This window comes from Homo sapiens, chromosome 2 (assembly GCF_000001405.40).
Source record: "Homo sapiens chromosome 2, GRCh38.p14 Primary Assembly".
In the NCBI taxonomy this organism is placed as follows: domain Eukaryota; kingdom Metazoa; phylum Chordata; class Mammalia; order Primates; family Hominidae; genus Homo; species Homo sapiens.
Genome location: NC_000002.12, coordinates 174,024,980 through 174,050,411, shown reverse-complemented (window position 1 = coordinate 174,050,411; position 25,432 = coordinate 174,024,980). Strand labels below are relative to the sequence as shown.

At 45.9% G+C, this 25,432-nt stretch overlaps 1 long non-coding RNA gene and 1 pseudogene across 1 annotated transcript, besides 5 other annotated features; both read right to left on the bottom strand.

Moving 5' to 3' along the window:
- Window positions 680-883: a silencer, noted in NCBI's record as "fragment chr2:174914257-174914460 (GRCh37/hg19 assembly coordinates)". NCBI's record gives its function as "represses an EF-1alpha promoter that drives an FKBP-Casp9 reporter gene in an ReSE screen in K562 erythroleukemia cells {active_cell/tissue: K562}" and the evidence as "EXISTENCE:reporter gene assay evidence [ECO:0000049][PMID:32094911]".
- On the bottom strand, window positions 6,458-7,479 carry RPSAP24 (ribosomal protein SA pseudogene 24; annotated as a pseudogene).
- Window positions 10,195-10,595: a silencer, noted in NCBI's record as "fragment chr2:174904545-174904945 (GRCh37/hg19 assembly coordinates)". NCBI's record gives its function as "represses an EF-1alpha promoter that drives an FKBP-Casp9 reporter gene in an ReSE screen in phorbol 12-myristate 13-acetate-treated (for megakaryocytic differentiation) K562 erythroleukemia cells {active_cell/tissue: K562(+PMA)}" and the evidence as "EXISTENCE:reporter gene assay evidence [ECO:0000049][PMID:32094911]".
- Window positions 10,197-10,491: an enhancer, noted in NCBI's record as "tiled region #8299; K562 Activating DNase unmatched - State 5:Enh, and HepG2 Activating DNase unmatched - State 1:Tss". NCBI's record gives its function as "activates a minimal TATA promoter and a strong SV40 promoter by Sharpr-MPRA in K562 cells, with weak activation in HepG2 cells {active_cell/tissue: HepG2 | K562}" and the evidence as "EXISTENCE:reporter gene assay evidence [ECO:0000049][PMID:27701403]".
- Window positions 12,247-12,747: an enhancer, noted in NCBI's record as "H3K4me1 hESC enhancer chr2:174902393-174902893 (GRCh37/hg19 assembly coordinates)". NCBI's record gives its function as "activates a minimal SCP1, AML or CMV promoter by ChIP-STARR-seq in primed H9 embryonic stem cells {active_cell/tissue: H9 hESC(primed)}" and the evidence as "EXISTENCE:reporter gene assay evidence [ECO:0000049][PMID:30033119]".
- Window positions 12,748-13,248: an enhancer, noted in NCBI's record as "H3K4me1 hESC enhancer chr2:174901892-174902392 (GRCh37/hg19 assembly coordinates)". NCBI's record gives its function as "activates a minimal SCP1, AML or CMV promoter by ChIP-STARR-seq in primed H9 embryonic stem cells {active_cell/tissue: H9 hESC(primed)}" and the evidence as "EXISTENCE:reporter gene assay evidence [ECO:0000049][PMID:30033119]".
- On the bottom strand, window positions 23,254-25,132 carry LINC01960 (long intergenic non-protein coding RNA 1960). Its single transcript, NR_136175.1, has one exon. It is a non-coding gene; the product is annotated as a long intergenic non-protein coding RNA 1960 (long non-coding RNA).

The window sequence follows — 25,432 nt, the reverse complement described above, 5'->3', positions numbered from 1 at the left end:
GCTTTGTTCTTAGAGTCCAGCTCAGCCTCCCAGCTGTGGCTACAGAGGTGCATCCTTGTTGAAAGGAGATTCACTGGCATCAGGGAGGTGTTCAAAGCTTCCACTAGCAATGTTAACAATGAGGAAACTGGGTGTTGGGTATTTAGGAACTGTATGTAATGTTCTTGCAATTTTTCTGTAAATCTTCAACTATTCTGAAATTTAAAGTTTATTTAAAAAAAATAAGCTGACTCACACCAAACCAGACTTTCTCCATAACAGAATCACTGATATGGTTAGGCTTTGTGTCCCCACCCAAATCTTATCTTGAATTGTAATCCCAGGTGTTGAGGGAGGGACCTGGTGGGAAGTGATTGGATCATGGGGGCGGTTTCCTCCATGCTGTTCTCGTGATAGTGAGGGACTTCTCATGATATCTGTTGGTTTTATAAATGGCAGTCCCCCTGGGCTTTTTCTGTCTCTCCTGTCACCTTGTGAAGAAGATGCCTGCTTCTCCTTCCTCCATGATTGTAAGTTTCCTGAGGCCTCCCCAGCCATGTGAAACTGTAAGTCAATTAAACCTCTTTTCTTTATCAACTACGCAGTCTTGGGTAGTATCTTTATAGTAGTGTGAAATTGAACTAATACAATCACTTTCTCATTCAGTGACTCCATTCTTAATGCCCCCACCTCATCCCCACAAAATGATTCCATGGGCATCCCCTGACCCCAAGGTAGGCTCCCAGGCTTTGGGAAACCCTGGCTGGGCTGGGCTGGACTAGGCTATGTTGTCTCTGGACATTAAGCCGAAGGATAGGGCTTTTTCTGTGGCAATGAGATTTCATTAAAGGTGTTTAAGTGGGTTGGGGTTGCCGTTGAGAGTACCGTTTGTGGATGGGGGTGAGAAGTTTGGCCAGAGAGGAAAGATACCGGGGAGCAAGAGGGAAAGGCTAGTGATCAGGCTGGCAGGCTGATGGCCAGGAAGGCACAGATGTGGGTGAACGGGAGGGTTCAGAGAGGCAGGAATGCAGACCCCCTGGAGGTGTGTGCAGGAGAGCGTGTTAGGGGCTGGCTGGGGCAGGATGCTGGCTTTGTGAGGGGCCAAGGGCATCTCACAAAAATGTTCTGCAATGTTCTAGGTCATTCCCTGAAAAGTAAAAAATATATTTTAAAAAATTTTTTTGAAAGAAAAGAAAATGTCCTGCAAGGGCCTGGAGGGGCAGGTTGCCCAGAGCAGCGTCAGAGACTCAGGCTTGATGCCATCCTTTCACAGATAGTAAGAGGCTCCTAGAGCTGTTGGACGTCTCCAGGAGACAGAAAAGGAACATTGCCCTTCCCCAGCCCCTCACAGCTTCACCCCCCTGCCCCTCACAGCTTCACCCCCCTGCCCCAGCCACAGGGTAAACAACAACAAGGTTGGGACAAAGGAGGGGTTAGAAGAGAAGACAAACCGGCCCTCATTCTACTCATTCTGGGTGGAACAGGAAGCTCGGCTCCTGGTTGTTAAGCTTGAAGGTTGCTGATTGGAATCTGTGGGGATGGATGGAGATCCTCCCTTACAGGACCCGATGCCCAGGGCTGACTAAACAGGGAGCTGTTCTACCAAAGGCGTAGGAACCACTACAGAAAAAAGTGAAAGATACACAGGGTAGACGTCCTCCAGAAAGCAAGGAAACTTGAGCATCCAGCACGCAGAGGACACCCACTCTGCCCGTGTGCCTATTTTTGCCTCCAAATCCTCACCTGGGCATCAGTACCTCACCTGAGCCGCCAACAGCCAGGATCCTGTGCCAAGCCAGTGCCATTCTGGGATTTAACTCAGCAGCTACAAGCCAGAAAGAAACTGGGGACTCCAGGGCCAGTTCCTGAGCCTGCACGCCAGCCGGAGGGAGAGCGCCCAGCAGACGCCGCGGGTTGCGCCCCGGGCGCGTCCCTCCGCTGCCCTTCGTGGGCGCGAGTGGCAGCCGGCTGCGGGCCTGGCGGGGAGCCGGTCAGCCTGACATCCCCAGCAGATGTCAGTCTGGGAACAGGAAGCAGCGTGTTTGGGGTTTCTAAAAATAAATAAATAAATAACCACAACCACAAGAACAGTCTTTTATTGCAAAGTAAAAAAATGCTTTAATGACTAGAGCGTTTAGCACATTGGGGGTGTTCATTGTTTTCAATTATGTGCCATTCTGAAAGGAGAGCACAAATTCTGAGCCTGAATGGAGAATTGTGGGGCTTCGGATTTGTGCTGTTTTAAACATTTGCTTTACTACTTTAAGAAGAGAACTGTAAAATAGAAATAATGATATATTATTACAAGTAAATTACACTGTGGAGTAGCATTAATATTGCAGTTGAAACCTAGAATTTGAAATAAAGATGGAAATATTCATTTGTACATAGTTTTTGTTCTTAGAAAAATGATTTAGCATAAGTCAAGAAGCTTCCTTCTGCGCGTGCACATCCGGCGGGGGCTGAGGCTCCCTGGCCGGGGCACCCCAGGGCCGCTCTGCCAGGATCCCAGTGGTGAGCCCTGGGGTCCCCGCAGGGACCGGGAACCTGGAGTTCTCAGCACCAGGGCTGGCACAGGCTGGGTTCCTCCATGTGTCCCCCAGCAAGGACTTGAAGCCAGGCCACTGTGACGCCCCCTCCTCTCTCTTACTTCCTGGCAATCTAGAAATGGAGAAAGGAGCAGAGGAGACCGAACAATGGCAGGGATTATAAGGGGACTGATGTGGGAGGAAGCAGCTCTTTCAAGAAGATCAGTCTAGATTAGTATGGGAATTGGACGTTTAGGGTTTCTCTCTCTCTCTGGTCATTTTTTTTCAGATTACAAAAGTAATATACATTTCCGGCAAAAAGAAAATTAATGTATTACAGAAACATGTGATTTAGAAAGTGGTAGTCCCTGCAATCTAGTCTAGGGTGGTGGTAAGGGCATTAGGTGCTTGTGGACAGAGGCTGCATAAGGAGATGGTGACAACAGGTGACAGAAGAGCTTTATTCTGCAATCCTCCCTTCTCTCTTTATTTTTTTCTTTGTGTGCCTCTATCTGAAAAATATCACCCTTCTCAAAGGCAGGCCCTATTTTGTCAGGCCTAATCCCCTAGCCAGGCTTCTTCTTCCTCTTCTGGGAAGAAGGTGGTGAGAAAGGCCACAGAAAAATTTAGGGTCCATAGCTTCCTTCTATTTATCCATTCAAGTGTTGTTGTTTTTTTAAACCAGTATAATACAGCTGAGCTCCACCTACTGCATTTTGTGAACCAAACATCAAAGCTTGTCATGGTCAGTACTAAGCGATCTTTGGAAATGCATTTTTTAGGGGCACCCTGTCATTCTAGACAAGGCCCTACGCTGCTCACGCGGGGCCCAACCCATTTCCTAACCTGGCCCTGCCCACTTCACCAAACACCCCCAGTCCAGCCACCCTCCTGACACCTGAACTACCCACTACTTTTGCCTCTGAGGGCCCTCATTGCAGGTTAGGCTCCTCTTCCATCACCTGTGCAGGCCACCAAGCTCATGATCCTAGACTCTGCCCGACAGCCCAGCCTCTATGAAGTCTTCTGGGGCAACTCCTCACTCCTTAACACCCAATGCTTATCTTTTGTTAGTAAAGAGTAACTTGACTCGGATTTGTACCCCTTGCCCATTGTAAGGAATAACAATAAATAGTTAATGAATGAATAAATTGGTGATTTGGGAGGTGGTACAAGGAAAGGAATATGAGGGAAGTACTATTTATTTAGCACATTTGAACAACCCTGCTGAGTAGGCATGATCTCTCTCACTTCACAATTGAGGAAACTGAGGGTCAGAGAGGATTAATAACTTATCCAAAGTCACATAGCCAGGAAGGGGCAGAGCAAGGTTTAGAATCCAGGTCTGCTTTGACTCCCTATGGTTCGAATGTTTGTCTACTAAATTCATGTTGAAATGTGATTGCTAATGATGGGAACTAATGACTGATGCAGTTATAAAAGGGCCAGTTTGTCCCCTTTTGCCTTTTGCCCTTCTGCTGTCCACCATGTGATGCTGCAGCAAGAAGGTGCTCACTGGCTGGTGCCTCGAAGTTGGACTTCCCAGCCCCCAGAACTGTGAGCCAATAAGGTTCTGCTCATTACCAATCACTCAGTCTCAGGTATTCTGTTATAGCACAAACAGACTAAGACGTTGCCTTTTCACCTCTCAACATGGAGTGAGCACTGGCTCAGAGAATCCCCAACACATACACTGGGCACCACCAAGAGACCATCTGTGGGTTCCCTGGAATCCCTAGGGCAGCCCAACACATACCAAGGGTCTTTCCCATAAATATTTGATTAAATTCCTAAAACTCCTAATATCCACTCCCACCTTCCACCTCAGCAACCTTTTATTTGGAAAACTTTAAACTTAGAAAAATTGAAAGAGCAGGACAATAAACGTGAGTATATCCTTCACATTTCCAAACATATATACACACTTGTATACGTATTTATACATTAGAGGCTTTTTGTTTTGGTTTTGCTTTCCTGAACTATTAGAAAACGACTTGCAGAGATTGTACACTTGGCACATAAATATTTCAGCATGTTTCTCTTAGAAGAAAGGGATTCTCTTCCACAATCATAATACCATTATCACACCCAACACATTTAACATATACTTAATAGTTCAATATGTAGTCTATATTCAAATTGGTTCAAAAATGTCTTTTATAGCTCTTTTTGTTTTTTGATCCTGAATCTTTTTTTTTTTTTTCTTTTTGAGACGGAGTTTTGCTCTTGTCATCCAGGCTGGAGTGCAATGGCACAATCTTGGCTCAGTGCAACCTCTGCCTCCCTGGTTCAAGCAATTCTCCTGCTTCAGTCTCCCAAATAGCTGGGATTACAGGCACCCACCACCACACCCAGCTAATTTTTTTTTATTTTTTAGTAGAGATGGGGTTTCACCATGTTGGCTAGGCTGGTCTTGAACTCCTGACCTCAGGTGATCCACCCACCTCAGCCTCCCAAAGTGCTAGGATTACAGGTGTGAGCCACCACGCCCGTCTGATCCTGAATCTTTTTTAAGGATCACAAATCTCACTGATTTGTCATGTCTCTTTAGTCTTCTGTAACTTACAGCAATTATTTTATCTTTTTCATGATATTGACACTTTTTAAGAATTCAAACTGGTTCTCTCATAGAGTGTCCCACATTCTGGATTTGTCTGTTTGTTTCTTCCTTCCTTTTCCCCCAAGAATACTATATCTGTATCATGCATTGTGGTGTATCAGGAGGCACATAATGTCACTTTGTTCCATTACTGATGATGTGGTTACACTTCATTACTTGGTGTGGGTGCCCTCTAAGATGGCCCCCATTGGTCCTTACCTCCTGGTGTCCACATCCTTGGGTTCCCCCTCCCCTTAGGTATGGGTTGGACTTAGTGACTTGCTTCTAAAGAATAGAATAAGTGAGAAGTTATAGACTGTCACTTCTGAGATGAGGTTATAAAAACACTACAGTTTTCATTTTGGGAACTGTCACACGGCTTGTTCTAGGGGAAGCCAGCTGCCATGCTGTCAAGAAGCCCTATGGAAGGGCCTCCAGGATCTTGAGGCGAATCTTCTGAGGTCTGCATTACAATCTACTACAATAACTTATTTTTGATGTCAGATTGTCCCAAATTTGGTTAGTGGAAGTTCCTCCAAGCTGATGTCAGTATCCTTTTGACATAACCCCATCAGTCTTTGAGCACTTCCTTACTTTGTGGCTCACTTCATATTTTCCCTGCTTCAGGTCTGGAATCAGCCATTTCTCCAAGGTTTCTTTTAGTGGAAAATGGCATTGGGAAACCAAGCTCTGGCCACTAGGTTTGCTCATTGCTACTGGGATACCATTGTTTATAAACCCTTTCGGTGGACAGAGCTAGGAAATGCATATTTTTAGAAAACTAGTATTTTTTTTTTAATTTCTTCCAATTAAAACCCAGCTCCACAGGACTCCTCCTCATCTTCCCAATCTGTATTTGTATCTTTGCTTCCTCCACAATGGGAACGCTGACTTCCAGCACCATCAATACATTCATTTATTTAGTTTATTTTAACACACCTGTTAGCAAAAAGGAAACATCAATATATTTAATCATTTGCTCTGTTCTATAATACACCCCAAATACTTTCAGAATGACTGACTGCTCCAATACCATTTCCTTTTTTTTTTTTTTTTTTTTTTGAGACGGAGTTTCACTCTTGTTGCCCAGGCTGGAGTGCAATTGCACAATCTCGGCCCACCACAACCTCCTTCTCCTGGGTTCAAGTGATTCTTCTGCCTCAGCCTCCCGAGTAGCTTTGATTACAGGCATGCGCCACAACGTCCAGCTAATTTTGTATTTTTAGTAGAGATGGGTTTCTCCATGTTGATCAGGCTGGTCTTGAACCCCAACTTCAGGTGATCCACCTGCCTCAGCCTCCCAAAGTGCTGGGATTTCAGGTGTGAGCCACGGGGCCCGGCCTACCATTTCCTTTTTAAAATAAATTGGTGTTTATTTCTGTCAGCCTTCTTTTCATGGTGCTTAAAAGCCTGTGGATAAACAGCTTAAGCCCATTCAGTGGTTGCTCCTACACGTTTAGTGGCTGAGCAGTGGGAGCTGCAGACTAGTCTTCCGTGGCAAGCAGAGCGCTCCAGTCTTCAGTAGGGAGCTGCTGAATAGGCACAGAGGGCATCTGCCACCTTTAGACCAGTCTGCGCCCTCAGGCTGAGTAGCAGTGGACTCAGGAGCTGCAGCAGTCCATTCATCCTGAAATTCCTCTTGGTCACAGCCTTTCTAGCAGCAGCCTGCTCTTCTTTACAATCTCTTCAGGATCTCTGTGGAAGCAGAGATCAGACATGACCTCCCATTCACAGATGGTGCCAGGCATGTACAAGACTTTCCAGGCTAGCATCTACCATGTCAAACCCCCTGAGTGAGCTCCCTTGTTGTTGCATTGGATGGCAAGGCCCACATAGTGCAGAGGAGAATCTGTGACACAGAGCAATGGTAGGTAGGTTAATGTAAGATGCCTCTGTGAGGGGCTGGTGGTCAGCCCTGGGATCAGTAACCACCAGAAGCTGTGGCTCCCGGAAGGCTGCTGAGATCTGGTTAGAGAATGTTCTAGGAGTAAAGCAGCCAGCAACAAGAGTGGCTCCAGTGACAGCAGCAAACAACGGCGTGGCTTTCTGGCCAGTTTTCCTGGAGGATATGACACTGACATCAGCAGGGTTTTCAATGGCAACAATGGCACAAGCTGCCAGCAGCAACTTCTCCCAGGTCTTCTTCTGATTTAGGATGTAGATGCCATCACTTTTCATTTTATAGATGTACTGTTCCATTTGGAAGTCAAAATTAGTGTCACCTAAGTGGGTTCCTGCTGCAAGGAACTTGAGGACATCCTCCTCCTTCATTGGCAGGACATCAAGGGCTCTGGACATTGTGAACGTTTCCCTTTAAATTAAGACAGGAATCCAGAACAAGCCAGAACGGACCCCTCTCTGGGTAGTGCAGAAGCCCATTTCCAACATCAGGCCTAAGAAAAGTTCAAGACTTCTTTGTAATACTATTTGTTCTTAGAATACATCCAGTTAAGGGTAGGTAGTCAGAATACTGTATTCACAGGTCATTTCAACCTTTTTTTTTTCCTGTATGGTTCTATTATTAATTTTATATGCAGTTAAGTTCATTTGTTTATATTTGCATTTAATTTTAAGCTTTTCTTTTTGACAAATCTCTCAAAATTTAAAAAATTTTAAATATGGGCCAGGCGTGGTGGCTCACACTTGTATTCCCAGCACTTTGGGAGGCCGAGGTGGGTGGATCACCTGAGGTGAAGAGTTCGAGACCAGCTTGGCCAACATGGCAAAACCCCATCTCTACTAAAAATACAAAAATTAGCCAGTTATGATGGCACACGTCTGTAATCCCAGCTACTCAGGAGGCTGAGACAGGAGACTCACTTGAACCCGGGAGTTGGAGGTTGCAGTGAGCTGAGATCATGCCACTGCACTCCAGTCTGGGTGACAGAGTGAGACTCCATCAAAAAAAAAAAAAATTAAATATGTAAAACTTTTACAAGGTTCAAAAGTCAAAACTATATATATATGTATATATAAAATTATATATGTAGTTATATATAACTATATATCAAAAACTATACTCAGAATTTGATATGGTTTGGCTGTGTCCTCACCCAAATCTCATCTCGAACTGTAGTTCGCACAATCCCTGTGAGTTGTAGGAGGGACCTGATGGGAGGTAATTGAATCATGGCGGTGGTTACCCCCATGCTGCTGTTCTCGTGATAGTGAGTGAGTTCTCACGAGATTGATGGTTTTATAAGGGGCTTTTCCCCCTTCTGCTTGGCACTTCTTCCTGCCACCATGTGAAGAAGGACGTGTTTTCTTCCCCTCCCACCATGATTGTAAGTTTCCTGAGGCATCCCCAGCCATGCTGAATTATGAATCAATTAACCCGCTTTCCTTTACAAATTACTCAGTCTCGGGTATGTCTTTATTAGCAGCGTGAGAACAGACTAATACGAAAGGGTAAACTCACATCCTTATTACTTCCACTCCATTCCTGCCAATCCCCTATAGGCAACTACTTGTTTTTGGTTTATTCTTCCTGTATCTCTCTTTCTTATACAAAAAACGTAGCATAATATATCCATTATTTAGTACTTTAATTTTTTTCACTTAACATATCCTGGAAATTACTACATGTTAATTCAGAGAAATATTCCTCAACACTTGTCAGCTGTGTAGTACTCCATTGTGTGACTGCATCACAGTTTATTCAATTACTATCCTAATTGAATGAAATTGTTTCTAATATTTTGCTGTTTAAGTAATGTCTCCGTGAACAACCTTATAAATACGTTGTTTTATATTTGTAGAAGTGTACTTTCAGGATAAATTCCTGGAGTTAGTATTACTGAGTCAAAGGGTAAATTGCATATATAGTTTTGCTAGATATTTCCAAATTCCCTCCACAGGGGTGTATCATTTTGCATTCCCACCAATGATTATGAGAATCATTACAGCCTTGCCAATGGACTGCATGGTCAAACTTCTGAAATTCTGTCAATTTTATAAAGATTGGTATCTCAATGTAGTTCTAATATATATTTATAACATAATGAGTGAAGTTGAACATCTTTCTGTATTTTAAGGTCCATCTACATATTTTTGTATCTGTGTGTATGAACTGTTTGTTCACGCCTTTTGCCTAATTTTCTATCAAGTTTTGGCCTTTTCCCCTCAATATTTAAAAGTTCATTACATTCCTAATATTACAGATTAACCTGTTTCTGTGAAAATGTTGCAAATATTTCTCACAATGTGCCAATTTTCTTGCCATGCAGCAGGTTTTTTTAAAGTTGTTGAATTTATTAATACTTTATTTTATGCCGTTGGAGTATTTTATTTTTCATTAGCAAAGCATTCATTTTGGTGTCAGGCTGAGCTTGGACTGGGTTTCCATGCCTCTCTTAAAATTTTTATTTGAAAAAAAAACTACTTTTTTATTTTATTTTATTTTTTGAGACAAGGTCTTCCACTCTGGCCCAGGCTGGAGTGCAGTGGTGTGATCTTGGCTCACTGCAGCCTCGACCTCCTGGCTCAAATGATTCTCCTGCCTCAGCCTTCAGAGTAGCTGAGACTACAGGGATGCAGTGCTGCACCTGGCTAATTTTTAATTATTTTATTTTACTTTTTGTAGAGACAGGGTCTCAATATTTTGTCCAGGCGGGTCTCAAACTCCTGGACTCAAAGGATCCTCCTGCCTGTCCTTCCAAAGTGCTGGGATTGCAGGTGGGAGCCACTGTGCCCAGCTCCATGCCCCTTGATATCTTAAGTGTCTTCCTTTTTGTGAGGCACAGCTTTGAGACCTCTTTTCCTGTCTGCCAAGAAGGCAAAGGGGGCAGTGGGCCCAGTCAGTTTAATTGTTTTTTATCTGTTTCCCTCCGCTTGATCCCAGGAGCCCAGGTTGGGGACAGTCACTTAGCTCTAATGGGGTAGGGCAGATGCCACATGGAGGTGAAGATTGCACACACATCCCCTTTCCCCCCCAACTCCTGTCTTAGCTGGAGGAGCAAGCGCCCAGAGGCCCTTTGGTTTGCGTCTGGGATTTGAATCATAGACAGACTTCCCACACCCAGGGTATAAAGAAGTCCACCGATGTGTCTTCTAATACTTGTTTGTGTTCATTTTTTACGTTTGAATTTCTGATCCATTTGAGATTATCTTGCTGCATGGTGAGGGGTATGGGTCCAGTTTTCTAATAGGCAAGGTGGCCTATGAAGTGGGGGCGGGGTAGCAGGGGGAGAAGGAGCCACGATCTTGATGGTCTGGGCCACTAGGTGGCGATCTTCCAGGTTTCTCCTCCTTCAGGACGGTAGGAGAAAATGCTGTTTTGTTTTCAGAAGAAAAAGGAAATGAGTCATTAGGTTTAATTGGCCAAGAGGAAGCCCTAGTAAAAAGTTCCCCTCTGTCTACGCAACCTTGATTTCTGAAGGCAGGCCCTGTGCTTCTTTCCCTGTGTTAGAAAACATCATTTCCTCTGTGTCTCTGTTTCTCACCAGGAGGCTGATGTGGGCCAAGTGTGCGTGCACAAACACTGCCTTTGCCGTGAGCGCCTCCAGGTCCTGCGTAAGGCCATGGAGAGACTTCAAAGAGAGGTCAAGATGGCATTGCCCTGCCGTGTGCCTCTTGGGAAGCCTGGGCCTCGGAGTGACAAGACCTTGGTTCCTGTCCCAGTGCTGCTGCCACCCGGCCCTGTCATTGCAGGCATGCCACCTAGCCCTCTCTTCCTCAGTGTCCTCATCTATAAAATGGAACAATGTCTTCCCTAACCATGTGCCAAGGATTTCAATGGGATAAAATGATATATGTGTGCTGCAAAGTAAAAACACTGTGTAAATATATTTCCACCATTATTATGGTTATATTTTATATGTGGATGCATCTCTATGGAAGATCTATTCTTTTTCTTTTCTTTTTCTTTTTTTTTTTTTTTTTCCGAGACGGAGTCTCACTCTGTCGCCCAGGCTGGAGTGCAATGGCATGATCTCGGCTCACTGCAACCCCTGCCTCCTGGGTTCAAGCGATTTTCCAGCCTCAGCCTCCTCAGTAGCTGGGATTACAGGCACCCGCCACCACGCCCGGCTAATTTTTTTATTTTTAGTAGAGACGGGATTTCACCATGTTGGTTAGGCTGGTCTCAGCCTCCTGAACTCGTGATCCACCCACCTCGGCCTCCCAAAGTGCTGTGATTACAGGCGTGAGCCACCACCCCCGACCGATCTATTCTATATCTTACAAGAATTTGTATTTATAGGCTGTATTAATAGGTTGATTTGCTGTTTATAAGGTGTTTTTTTTTTTCACACATCCTCTCTTCTGTGAAAGGGACACAGCCTTAATGAGAAAATGGACTGGTTTTGAAAGAACTGCCAAAGTAGCGACCTTAGGAGAAGGTCTACAATGTGCTTTCTCTGAGGTTGTGTACAGAATTATGTGTGTGTGTAATTTTTCCCAGCTTGTATCAGATTGCTATAGGAGTTCATAGCTCAAAGGTGGTTAAGAACCACATTCTTGAAAAAGGGAGCCAGACTGGCCTCAGGACCCCCTCCCCATTTGGCTTCTGGGAGGACTGAACTGGTTCCAGTCCTTTCTTAAGTCCTACATGGGGTCTTAAGGCTACTGATCTCCCTCCTTGCTGTAGCTGGTCTGGAGAGAAAGAGAAAAGAGAAACGGGAAGGGCTTGTAGTGTCTAGAAACCAGAGGTGAAACTCTAAGTTAGTAAGGCTTCAACGGCAGCTCTGCAGGAGGTCAGAAAACAATTTAGTCTTGCAAAATTCTTTTTGTCATGCCACAGTGGTCCTCTTTCTGCTCCTCAAGTGTGCTAAGGTTGATGCTACCTTGGGGCATTTTGCAGAGGCTCTTTTATTTACCTAGAATATTGTTGCCCTGGCTTCTCCTGGACTGGCCCCTTCTTTTTATCCAGCTCCAATGTCATTTTCTCTGAAAAGTCCTCCCGATCCCACAATTCCCCCGGCCCAAATTATTTTCCAAGAGCATCTGTCACCATGGGAAATCATCTTTTTTATTTGTTTACTTTGTTGTCTGCATTGCCTGCCTTTCTCCCAACAGAATTAAAACTCCCTTTGGGTAGTAGCTACATGTCATTTCTAGAGTCTACAGCAGTATCTGCCACAAAGTAAGCACTCAGTACACTCCTATGGAATGGACACTTGTATCATGAAAGGAGCTGAGTTCTTGTTAGAAGGTGCTGCATGGCATCTGTGACTCGTCTTTCCCTTGGTGCCAACTCTATGTCACCAAATCTTCAGTGGGTTCTACTTCTGAAGAATGTCTTATACCTGTCCCTCTGTCCCCTCCTATTTCCCACATTCCCAGAGCCACTGCTCTGATACCTGGGTAGTGACAGCCCTATACCTTTCTCCCTGCTGCCCACGCTTCCTAAAAGGCGAGTGGCCCTGCCCCTGCTCTACTTCACCCCTTGCTTCCATTCACGCCCCACTTCTGGGACAGCCAATCCCTCTTGGTATTCTCCTGCCATTCTTGGACTAAATCAAAGCATCTTCCCCGCAGTACCCCGAGGTCCTGCCTTCCAGCCGGCAGACCTTGCTCTTCTCAGTAGCAGAGCCCAGCATGGAAGGGGAGGGAGTTCCTTAGGAATCTCTTAAGAAGACCTGAGGTCCACTGTGGATTCATGAGGCTCCTGAAGGCAGCAGGGGGTGTGAAGAGGGGCTGGGCAATAGCCAGAGGGAGCTTTCTGAAGATGGCTCAGGAGGAAGTGGAAAAGGGCCCCGCACAGGCAGATCTGGGGTCCCAGACAGCTCATGGGGAGCGTTGGGTAAAGGATTCTGGGGCTGCCCTAACACAAAGCGGTCAAGGCCTTGGAAGAGCTGGAGTGGAGATGCTCGCAGGCAGTGTGGTAACCCTACCCCTTCTTGCCTCTTATGCAGCCATATGCCTGTCCAAGGGTGAGCTGGTGGGCTGTGTAGGAAATTAAGAGGGGATCAAGCAAACCCAGGGAGACAGGACATCTGGCATTGCTGAGGGAACTGCCCACAGCCAATGTGGCCCTTCTCTTCCCATCAAAAGCTGTTGCCAGGTGTAGGTGGGCAGGGGCTGGCAATGGCTTGTACCTTGTATATTAGAAATTTATTGTGGTCTGTTCAGGTAACAATGTTTAGAGACCTTTCTTATGAAAGGTGCTATGTTCCCTGTGAGTCATTAAGACTATTTATTTATTTTTAATACCAAATGTCTAAATTCATCTACCCTCTAGGGATCATTTCATCTTGTACTGTGTGCTATCTCAGCAGAAAAAATGCTTTCCCCAAATGTGTCAGTTCTATTTTTAAAAAGGTTCAGTGACCTATTTCTGTAATTCTCACAGACACTGGAAGTACAGCAGAGACTATTTAGGCTCAGCTTTGTCACCAAAAAGTTACCCTGGCTTCCAGGTGTTGCCTAGAGAGATGCCATCTTGCTTTGCAATGGAGAAGCATAAATAAGAGGAGTACACCTGTCCCCCCTCATGGAGGGAATTCACCCCAAGACTCTCAGTGTTTGTCTGAAACTACAGATAGTACTGAACCCTACATAGGCTACGTTTTTTCCTGTATATACATACTTATGATAAAGCTTAATTAATAAATTAGACACAGTAAGAGATTAGCAACAATAACTAATAACAAGATAGAACAATTAAGTGAAGTAAGAGTTACTGGAACACAGGCATAGTGATACTGCCAAGAGGGCTACGGAGCAACCACGGGCAGGGAGCGTCTATGGCACCAAGATGCTGGACAAAGGGGTGAGTCACGTCCTGGCAGGACAGAGTGGGGCAGTATGGGATTTAATCATGCCACCCAGAACAGTATACAACTGAAAACTTAGGAATTGTTTATTTCTGGTGTTTCCATTTAATATTTTCAGACCAAGGCTGATCATGGGTAACTGAAACTATGGAAAGTGGAACTTTGGATGGGGGGACTACTACATTGTCAGGATAAGATCATGAGAGCAAAAAACGTACACACATAGACACACATACGACATGTTTCTCCAGTTTCAAACAATGTCATGATGACTACACTCCGCCTTTAGCCAAACTCGACATTGGGAAATAGCTTAAGAATCAACAGTTTCTGAGACAAAGAACTTAAAAAGACAATTTACAAAAGAGAAACTACAGCTCATCAACTAAGATGTGGCAAGCGGTTAGATCCACTAGTAATCCAGGAAATGAAAATTAGAGCAACGCCACTTTCCAAAACTAGCCCCTGGTGGGAGAAGTCAGAACAACGATGACCCTTGGGTGGAGTGGAGGAGGGGGAACGGGGCCACAATAGTGGCCTCTAGGGGTAAGGTTCTGTTTCTTAATCTGGGTGCTGATTACTCAGGGGTGTTCACTTTGTAAAAATTCACTCGTGATTTGTGTACTTTTCTGAACGCATGATAAACTTCACTACAAAGTTTACATTAAAAAATCAAGCTCACTTTTTACCTATTAAATTAGCAAAAACAATTTTTTTTTAGTAATACTAGCCAGTGTGGTTTAAGCCATCACAAAGCTAACATTTTTACATATTGCTAATCACAGTATACATTAATATAGTGCCCTTTGGGGAGGAATTTGGCAGTATGAATGTAAAACTCTTGAGAAGCGTTCATACTTGTTAATTCGATAACTTCACTTCTGAGACTCTGTCTTAAAGAAATAACCCTAAATGCCAAAAAATGGTTTATGTGCACATACGCATTGCAATATCATTTATAGTAACAAAAATTGACAACATCAAAACACTGAAAGTAATCTAAATGTCCAACTCTAGGGCAATGGTTAAATAAACTTTGACAAATTCACATGATGATATTTTATGCACTCATTACAATAAACTAAAGTGAGTAATGACAGAAGAAAACACAATATAGTAAGTAGGAAAAGCAGGATATGAAATTGTAGACATGACTACAGCTAAGATTAAAAAAAAAAAAAAAACCCTACACAGAGAAAATCCCCAGAAGATCTTAAAAAATGAGTAATACTAGTGTTTGGATAACAGGACTATGAGTGGGATATTTTCTTTAATTAACTTTCCTGTGTTTTCCAAATGTTATTTAATGAGCCCGTATTGCTTTGTTGAAAGAGGGAATGTTCAGAGTCATCCTTGTGTGTGACTCTTCTGTTTCAGAAGGTGCTGCCTATGGTTCTCCCAGGTCCCCCACGTCCCAGCAGTCTGTGCTTTGGTGCCTGATATCGCCATTCCAGGATGAATGGAGCCAGTGATATTTAGGAGCAAACTGATTATCTGTCTCCTTTCTGCAGGGCTGACTAAAAACTGTCAACCCTGAAGGCCCTACTGAAGCAAGGTGTAGGGAGTTCAGGATGGAGCTCTACATTCTGTGGTTTGTAAGGAAGACTCAGTTGGAAAGTCTTCTGCTGGGTCACTAGGTAACCGCAGTGCCTAGTTCATTCGTTCATCCTCCCCTGTCTGCTGGTTCTTTCGGTTCAGGGAGAAATGTTCAACTCTGCTTCCTTCTCTAGACATCACCTTCACTCTCCTTTCCTTCCAGCCAAAGAACTTGAAAGGCAAGTCTTTGATACACTTCTTCTACATCTATCGTTTGCCTACCCCCCAACCTGCACCCCATTGCTGTGTTCTGGCTCATACGGGACTTGGTGGGGAGTGGTACCCGGCTTGGGGAGAGGGATGCTGGTGAGTTTTCAGCTCTCATCCTCATCCCTGCTCTACTTGGGTGCCTTTGAATACTCCCACAAACCTCAGTTGGAGCCCTGCTAATTTAGCTTCAATTTGCCAAATGGACCTCCAGTGCCATTGTGGCAGCCCCTCACAATGATGGCTCTGCCACCCTCCTTCCGGCATCCCAGAGGCATCCAGGACCCAACCCTGTCCAGGTCTCCCCTTCCTTCTCTAGTTGCTGCTCCTCCACAGACTCTCTTAAAATAGTGAGTGTTCCCTCAGAATCATCTCTTGTCTCTGTACACTTTAACCTTTACTTGTATTCCCAAGACTTCGGGCACCTCCTACTTCCTCCCATCTCCCAGATTGAGTGGCTCAGAGTATGGGCAGAGTGCCCCCACCTACATCTGCGTGTAGCCTTGGGCGAGTTCCTTCACCTCCCTGCAGCTCAGTCTCATCTGGAGATAATGTGGAGATGGTAGCAGCACCTACCCCAAAGGGATGTTGAGAGGACAAAGTGCAGGGGCTGGCCCTTCCTAAGCCAAGAGCATCTGCTCATCCCCAGACCCATCCATCTAAAGTCCCCTGGATGTCTCCATTTGGGGGTCCTTCAGGCAAACTGATTGCCTGTCTTGGAGTTAATGTGCCCCACCCCAAATTAACCATTTCTCTTCCCTCCATTTGTTTCTCCTTCATTGTGTCTTTGGGGAATGGGCCCACCAGCCACTCAGACTCTGAGTCACTCGAAGTCCTCTCTGCACAACTCTGATCTTTCACTAAGTCTTATCCTAAATGTCTCTCTCCTAAATGTCTCTTTAATACCAACTGTCCTGCCTGTCCTCTCCATCCTGGTGGACACAGGCTTGGTTCTGATGGCCCAGTTACCCAGTAACCTCCCTAAGCTCATCACCAGGACTACAAACTTGCCAAGGTCCTACTAAAAGACTTGAAACCCGGAAGCAAGGGGTGGTGTGGGGGTGTGGTAGCTCCAAAATACAAGAAGAAAAGTGCAAAATTAAAATTAACAAATATTTCAATGGCTCCAAAATGTAAATTATGTCAGCTCCCTTGTTAACTTTTGATTTCATAGAAATTTCAGTACATTTGACAGCAATTTGTAGGTTAGGTTTTTCTCCTATACAAGAGTTTCTGACTATTCATGGCCTTGAGAGAAGGCATAGCCAATATATATTAAATTAGCAGGGGTTAGGGGCGTTGTAGTCAGATAACTTTAAAAAGCAAAGTTATCAGAGATCTCTCAGAAACAGCAATACAGAATAACTATGCTTGATGTGGGACAGGCATGCAATTTAATGCCTATTCTATGGTGGGGCGTGGTCTCCACAAGTAAGAGTGCCTGGGGCCCAGAGAGATCTGCAATCCACCTGTCCTTATTTCTTTCCTGAGGCAATAAGCAACCTCCAAAATAAGAATGTATTCAAGGCCATTCCTGTTGACTTCTTGCCTGGGTTCCTCAAGCCCTCTTAGAGAAGTCCCCTGAACCCCTAGGCCAGGTAGGCCCCTCTGCTACCACTCACCTAAGGCCTATGTTTCCTTTTGTCAAGCCACCTTCTTCTTTGAATTGTAATTACTGCCTCTGTCTGTTGCCCTGGGAGATCCCTGAGGGTAGGGACCACATCCCAGGGATCTTTGTTTAACTTTACAGACATTCCAGAGTGTTGATGATTAAAAGAATGAAAGACAGGCTGGGAGGGAGCGGGGGTAATGATATACAGGGATTAGGAAGAGGAGGCGAGGGTGAGGTAGAGATGAAATCAGCCTAGACAGACTTGGATTGAGTGCTACTCGGCACGAAGTGGATCCACCAGTCTGGAACTTAGGCTAGGGGCTGGGATAGAGAAAATGGGGGTGGTGGCCACTAGTATAAATGGGGGTGGTTGAAGCCCTGGCTGTGGCTGTGAAGAGGCCAGGTAGGAAGTGTGGGCAGGGAGAGAAGCCAGAGTTCTGGGAAACCTCGCTGCTGCTTATGGGATGGGCAGAAACGTGGGAGGGAGCAGGGACTGCAAGCACAAGCAGCAAGAGAAGAAGGCACAGTGGCTCACGCCTGTAATCCTGCCACTTTGGGAGGCCGAAGCGGGCGGATCACGAGGTCAGGAGTTCGAGACCAGCCTGGCCAACATGGTGAAACCCCGTCTCTACTAAAATACAAAAAATTACCCGGGTGTGGTGGCAGGCGCTTGTAGTCCCAGCTACTTAGGAGGGTGAGGCAGGAGAATCGCTTGAACCCGGGAGGTGGAGGTTGCAGTGAGCCGAGATTGCGCCACTGCACTCCAGCCTGGGTGACAGAGCAAGACTCTGTCTCAAAAAAAAAAAAAAAAGAGGAAGACGGCTGCAACAGGAGGCCTGAAACCCTGGAGTCAGAGTCAGAGTGACAACCCAATCGCTCTTTGCGGTTGACGGTGGGCCAGGCCCTACGCCCAGTGCTTTGCATGGAGTGAGCCACAGAAGGATGTTAAGATAAACCCCATTTTATGGATAGGTGAATCAAGGCCCAAACTGGCTGAGTAACTCACCCAAGGTCACACAGGGAGGAAGTGAAAGAGCAGAGACTCAGCTCCATACTCCACATTAAGGCAAGATGACCTGCACGTAATGACCATCACCCTGTCCAGGGAGATGGATATTAGAAAGCTTTGATGAAGTCTCAGTGATGAGGGCGGAAGACAAGCCGCACGGCAATGGGTGAGTCAGCAGGAGGGAGGAACTGAGCCAGGAGGAGCTGTTTCAAGGAGCAGAGGGGTGTTGTCTATTTCCCAAGTGTAGTTGGCATTTTTTCCCGCATCAAGAGGCAATAGCCAGGTAATACTATTATAAATTTGATGTTTAAAAAACTTACCTTTGAACACAGCAATAAAAACCTAAGCACTTCTCCATTACTCTTCTAATTTCTCTGCCTTAATGCCACAACAAACATTGGAGGCCTTTCCCTTCAGTGTCAACCTTATGGATCTTCTTATATCTTCTTTGTCCACAGGCATCTTTTGCAGAGACCTGCTGCCTGCAGAAAAGTGAGGAGGAGGGAGAGAAGGAGGGGTGCTCCATCCCTCTTAAGGACAGGGCAACTCTGTGTGGACAGAGGACATCCTTACTCTAGGTGTTCCCTCTGCCCAGAACTCTCCTCCCCCAGGCATCTGCTCAGCTGGCTTCTCACCTCCCTAGAGTCTTCCACCTCAGTGAGATGGGCCCGTCCATGTTTATTAATACTGCAACCGGCCTCTGCCCCCAATGCCCAAGCTCCTGGTCTCCCTTTCCCTCCTCTGTTTTGTTCTTTTTTCCATAGCAACCTCAGCTACTAAGTCATCCTGCTGATGTACTGCGTTTAGCATTTAGTATCAGAGTCCCTCCTTCTGCAATACTGCAAGCTCCCCAAAGGCAGGCAGCTTTATCTGTTTTGTCCTCTGTCCTATCCCAGGTGCCCAGAGCAGTTCTGGGCACTTAGTAGGCTCTCAATTCATATTTCTGGAATAAATAAAAGGAGTGATCTCAGCGGGCTGTGACTCCATCTTAAGGAAGATGGGTGGCCTTTCCATGGGAGAGGGAAAGGGGGAAGGCGTTTCAGGTAGGGGAGCAACATGAGTGGGTGCTTGAAGACAGGAACAAGTAAGTCACTCTGTGGGCAGTGAACAGAAGATTCATTTGGTGGTGCTCAGGATGTAGGCATCGAATACCAGGATGGAGAGTGTGGATTTTCATTTGTAGGCAATGGGAGGGAAGAGGAGGGCTATTGAAAGATTTCGAGCAGGGAAGAGACTCCATGCGAGTGATATTTGGAGAAGATTAAGTTGGAGGTGGGGAATCCATTGGGTGGAAGTGTCCTTCTGGGATGTATTCCTCAATCCTCATCCCCTCCTCCCCTTCCTCGTGAGAACTCCAGCTCACTCTGGGTGTTTCCTGTGACCTCTTTCTCTGTGCTCTCCCTGCTCCAAGTTAAGCCAGAATCAGGGTCTGCAGGTGTGCTGTGCACCTTAGATTTGAAGGGAATTTGTACGTTTTCATTCTCTGGGTAAAGTCAGGGTAGGCATCATCCATGGCCTCTGGTTAGAAATGGCATTCAGCACTCGGAATGCTTCCTCTTGCTTCTCTATCTTCAAATTTGTGCAGTGGCAACACTGAAATTCCAAAGGAGTAAAAAGTACGAAGACCTTTGCCTGGTACATCAAGAATGTGGACAAATTTAGAACTGGAGTCTTGTGTTACAATTGCAAGTCAAACTCCAAGAGGGGGTAACCAGCCCATTAGCGCAGGAACCTGGAAACTGACTTTTCTGCTATCTCTCCAAACACACACACACATACATGCGTGCACACTCTCACATACACACATTCATTGGGCCCTTGAAAGATCAAGGCCAACTGCAAAGCACCCATTCCCCAAGACTCCTAATTTATATTGGGAACTAGCTATAAAGCTCCCCTTGGCCCCCAATCTTCCCTTGCAATGATAAAGAGCATGTCACATCACACTAAATGTGACACTTAATCAAAACCCATCTTCTTTAACAAACCCTTAACCTCCAGCACACGAGAGTCACCAAGGCCAAGGGACGAGACGGGGAGCCGACTCAGGTGGCACATGCTTTGATTAAGATGATACAGATTTCCTTTTATTTCACTTTTATCAGAGTTGTAAAATTCCGAATCTGTCCCCTTTTTGATTTGACAACAGCACATTTCAATAGAGGTTGACACCAAAAAAAAGACCACGACTTGTTCTCTCTTCAACCGGGAGTAGGCGATAATTTCTCTGAATCCTCTTCAGTAATGATCGTCAGAGCTTCTGATCTTCCCATAAGCAAGTTTTGCAAGGAACATGGTTAAACTGAAGCACAAACCTGGCTGGCATCTGGTCCCTTTCTTAACTGGTATCTAAATACCCTTAATCTATAGGCCCTGAAAAAGACCTCCCCTTCTCTGCCTCCTACCTTGGGTCTTTATTTCTGAGACTTAAATCCTCAAGTGAATTCTTTTGCCAGATTTCTGGGGCAGGAAATTTACTTGCCTGCCACACAGTTACTTTAGGCCTTCTAGGGGCTCCGGCAATTGTCCATTTCTATCGCATGGGCCATCACTTTCCTCATGACCTATTTAGGACTTTGTTTCTAAATTATTTAATCATTGGCTAAATTAGATAATTTACTACAGAGTTATTGAATCCTAGTTATGAATGAGATACTTGTAATAGGAGGGAAGACTTATTTCTGGTTTCAGAAACTTTTGGTCTTGAAATAAAATACAGTAATGGTAATACAAGGTAGAATGGGACAAGTGTCTACAAAAACTCCAAAGCATAGGCAGTTGATGCTTTCAGTAAGTATTGAGCATCTACTGTGAGCCAGCCCCTGTTCTAGACACTGGGATACAGCAATGTACAGAATGGACAATGTTCCTGCCTGCAAGGTACTTACATTCTGTGTGGGGCTGGACAACATTTTCAACTTCTATATATTTGGCTTATGAACAACCCACACTTTCAAACTTTGTACTTTACCCCTCTTCAATCACCTTCTGCAGGTTGAATTTGGACTTTCGAGTGCCCATGGACAAGCAAAACTTCTCAGTTGTCTCGTGACGGCACACCAGTGGGACTATGCTCAGTTTCTGCAGTGTCAGCCCTCTGTCTGTTCTGTGGTGTCAATAGCCTTATTGCTCACCAAAAAACGAGCAGAAATTTTAAAACTGAAAGTGTGGATGCTATTGGCAAGACTTGTAGTTCTTGTTAACTTCTTACAATTGAGACGAAGATAGAAATCATTAGGAAGGAAAAAGAGCAAAATTAGACAGCCCATTTAAAATACTGTAAGGATATTAAATATTGAGCCAAACAGATAAAGTATAATTAGGATTTTTAAAAATGGTTTTTCATTTATGAAAGAGCAGTCTTTTCTTATGACATATTGGCAATCACTCCATTAGATTCTCAGCAACAGCATTCTTTACCTCTATGCGTGAGGCCTTCCTTTCCATGCCGGAGGGCTGGGTGCTGTGGTCAGTACCAAGAAAGGGCCAAGACATGGCCCAGTCCATCAGGAACTTACCTGTTACTCATGGACATAAAGGAAAATAGAATAGCTGGCATATTTCAATGCAGGGGGGGAAAAGGCGTTTTCTAAAAAAAAAAAAAAAAAAAAAAAAGCCTATGTTACCGGCCAGAAAGAGGAGATAAGAAAACTGCAAAGAAGCTCATCCTTCCTAGGATCAGGATAAGCCTAAAGGTCACAGACCAACCTAGAATGGGGAGATGAAAGTTGGTGCCAGGGCCAGGCCCTGCTTTAACTCTTCTAACAGGAGGCCTCTCCATTGCCCCTGATGGACAGTCTTTATCCTGCCCTTCTCTGTACCTGGTGTTTAGCAAGGGGACTGGCATAGGATTATTCCTGTATTCAAGTCCTGAAAAAGTCAGGGCAGGATGACAACGGCACACTGATGGGACAGTGTAGAAATGTGAGGGGTGAGGGCAGCAGGAGCAATCCAAAGCTGTGATAACAGGAACTTTACTGAGTCCTGACTCCGTGGCATATGGTCTGTGTCCTACTTTCCTTCACACAGGCCCCTGAACCGCTCCTGCAGCAATGCAGCCTGTGCAGGAGGAAGCCACAGCCCTAACAGCTGCTGAGATCTGGGATTCTGTGAGAAGCTCCCTTCCCATTTCTTGCCAGGCAGAGGGGGCTCAGGGTGGAACTGCAACCCCTGGTCAAAGTTTGTAGGATTAGCTGACAAGTAGGGTAAAAAAAAAAAATACATACATACATAGATAAATAAGTAGATATTAACAAAAAATGTTTAAGCTTCCAGGAGTCATTGTTGACTGCCCTTGCTTGTCACTTTCCTGCTATACCTGAGAGCTGACACCTGGGAGGATTAAGGACCAAAATACAGAATCGAGTAATCAATGTGTAAATTTACACGTGCATAAACAGGTGCATAGGTGTGTATTTGGTTCTCCTCTGTGAGTTTTTGTGATAAAATTGTCCATATTTTATTTATTTATTTACTACTCCTTGCACAGCCGGGCTACCCCATAGGCAATGCACCCAGAGGAGCCTATATTTTAAACTCTTTATTATAAAAAAATGTTCAACGTGCATGAAAGTGGAGGGAATAGGCTGGGTGCAGTGACTCACACCTGTAATCCCAGCACTTTGGGAGGCAGAGATGGGTGGATCACCTGAGGTCAGGAGTTCAAGACCAGCCTGGCCAACATGGTGAAACCCTGTCTCTACTAAAAATACAAAAATTAGCCAGGCGTGGTGGCGGGCGCCTGTAGTCCCAGCTACTCGGGAGCATGAGGCAGGAGAATCGCTTGAACACAGGAGGCGGAGGTTGCAGTGAGCTGAGATTGCACCACTGCACTCCAGCCTGGGTGACAGAGTGAAACTCTGTCCCCCCCAAAAAAAAAAAAAAGTGGAGAGAATAGTATAAAAGAATCCCATCCAGCCATCATCTAGATTTAACCATTAACACCTTAGCATGTTTGGTTCATCTTTTGTTTTTTTCTTTGTATTTAAAAACAAACTCCAGACATTATATTTCACCCTTAAATACTTTAATATACACCATTTAAAAGATAAGCATGTTTTCTTCTATAACTACCACACCATTATCGCACATATCAAAATTAACAATAATTCTTTGCTATTTTCTGCTACGCAGTCCCAATTCAAATCTTCCTGATTATCCCCAAATCTCCTCTTCCAGTTGGTTTGTTTGAATCAGGATCCAAACACGGCCCACACATTGCATTTGGTTGTTACGTGGCTTCGGTCTCTTTAAGCCAGAGGGCCATTTTGAACTATTAAGGAAGGGGTTGCTCTCACCCACCCATCCCTCTGACCTGGGCCCCAGTGAATTTCTCCAGGTGCGCCCTGAGGCCCCTCTCTAGCAGTCCAGGCAGCCAGAGCAGAGTGACTAAGGTCTGGAGGAATGAGCCTTGCCATGGAAAAACCAGAAACTCACAGATTTTCAAAATTCCAGGCAAGATAACATGACGCACGGGAAAATGTATGATGTAGTTTCTGTCCTCTGGCCCCCGACGAGAATAAAGCTTCCACCAGGCTGGAGGGAGAGAGAGGAGGGCCCACAGGACAGAGGGAGCGAGAAGGAACGCACTCCGCACGCGCTGGGCCCAGGCAAACGGGCTCCATGGAAGAAGCACAGCCTTGTGCTGAGGAGTTGGGCGTCGCCCTCACCAGGGTCCTCTGGTGAGCCTCTCCCCTTGACGGTCTCCTTTTGTTTGTGCAGTGGGAAGGATGCCTATCTCTGCCCAGAGAACGTTGCAGTCAGAGGCCCACTTTGCCCTGGGAAGGCCCCTTCATGAGAGCTAGGCCCTGGCTGCCCACAGGGTTGGTGGTGCATGGAAGGAAGCCTTTGCAACCCACCCCAGCCTGGCCAGCAGCGTCTCTGTGCATCAGAGCGGGGGCTCACCAGCACCCCGTGCTCCCTCCGAGAGTTCAGCCACGTGCTCGGCTGGTTTCCCCACATTAGAAACATTGATCAAAGAACAGCATTTCTTCTGCGACAGGAGGGAGTGCCTGGGGCCTGAGCTGTGTCCCCTACACCGTATTCCGGCTCACACTGTGCCCTGGGCCTCTAGGCTCAGAACGAGCCGTGTTGGTGACCCCGGAAGAGCGGCCTCCTGGGCCCTGGCTGCGGAGGCGACAGGCTGAGCCCGCGCTTGGAGGCCGCTGCGCTCTGGGGCCTCGCCTTCCGGAGCCTGGCCGGCGTTCCCGGTTGCATCTGCGTGGAAACTTGTCCCCGAGGAGCACTTTTGGGGAGACATTCATCTTCCTTGACGGCCCAGTCAGTGCTCTTTGGGGTTTTGCCCTCTCTTACTGGCTTTGGTGGCGGCGGTGCAGAGAGAGGCCTCCCCCGGACCCCGAGGCGCTGGTGCCCCGCGCTGGTGGGGCCTCCACAGGCGCACGCGGCCCCGGCAGCTGGCAATCTGGCCTGCATCTGATCAATTTTATCTGCAAAGCATTCAGAAAATTTCTCCCCCGAAGAACACGTTGACCCTCTTAAGCGGGGAATGCAATGTGGGTCGCCTGCTGGAGGACGCCCTCGATTTTGATGAGGCTTGTGCAGGCACCCGCGATAAGCTTCAGAACGCGAGCCAAGCGGGTGGGGACAAGGCTCCTCCGGGGAGCTCCGCATCGTCCCCGGCCTTCCATTCGCGGTGTTTACCAATTGTGAAAGCAAATCCAGCTGTTGGGAGGAATTGCTTCCAGATGACATGATGGGAAAGGAAAACACACTTCATAAAAAAGCTGCTGAATAAAAACCAGAACATGTCCGCTCTGTGGGCCAGGATTGCATAGGGGCTGTTTCCTGAGGTTGTGCAATAGGCCAGCTCCTGGGGTAAGGAACAAGAACAGTGCAAATGTTCCCCCTGCCAGAGTCAGGAGACCAGAGCTGGGACTGGACGTGGCAGAACTTGGGGAAAATTAGTTGACCTTGCTGGGCCACCGTATTTTTCTCGTTCTCAAGAACGGCTTCCCACCTTCCCTGGAGATCCCTGTGAAAGCCACAGAGAAGGTTTTCTGTGTGTTGAACTGCGTGGGTGAGAGAAACCACGAGAAAGCAAGGACATCTTCTTTTGAAAATGGGATGCATTTCTCAGCCCCCCAGCGCAGAATTTGCTGTGTTGGCTTTCTCAACGATTTTAGAAGCTCTCTAACGAGCTGGAATTAAAGTGTCCCTTTACTAATTTGG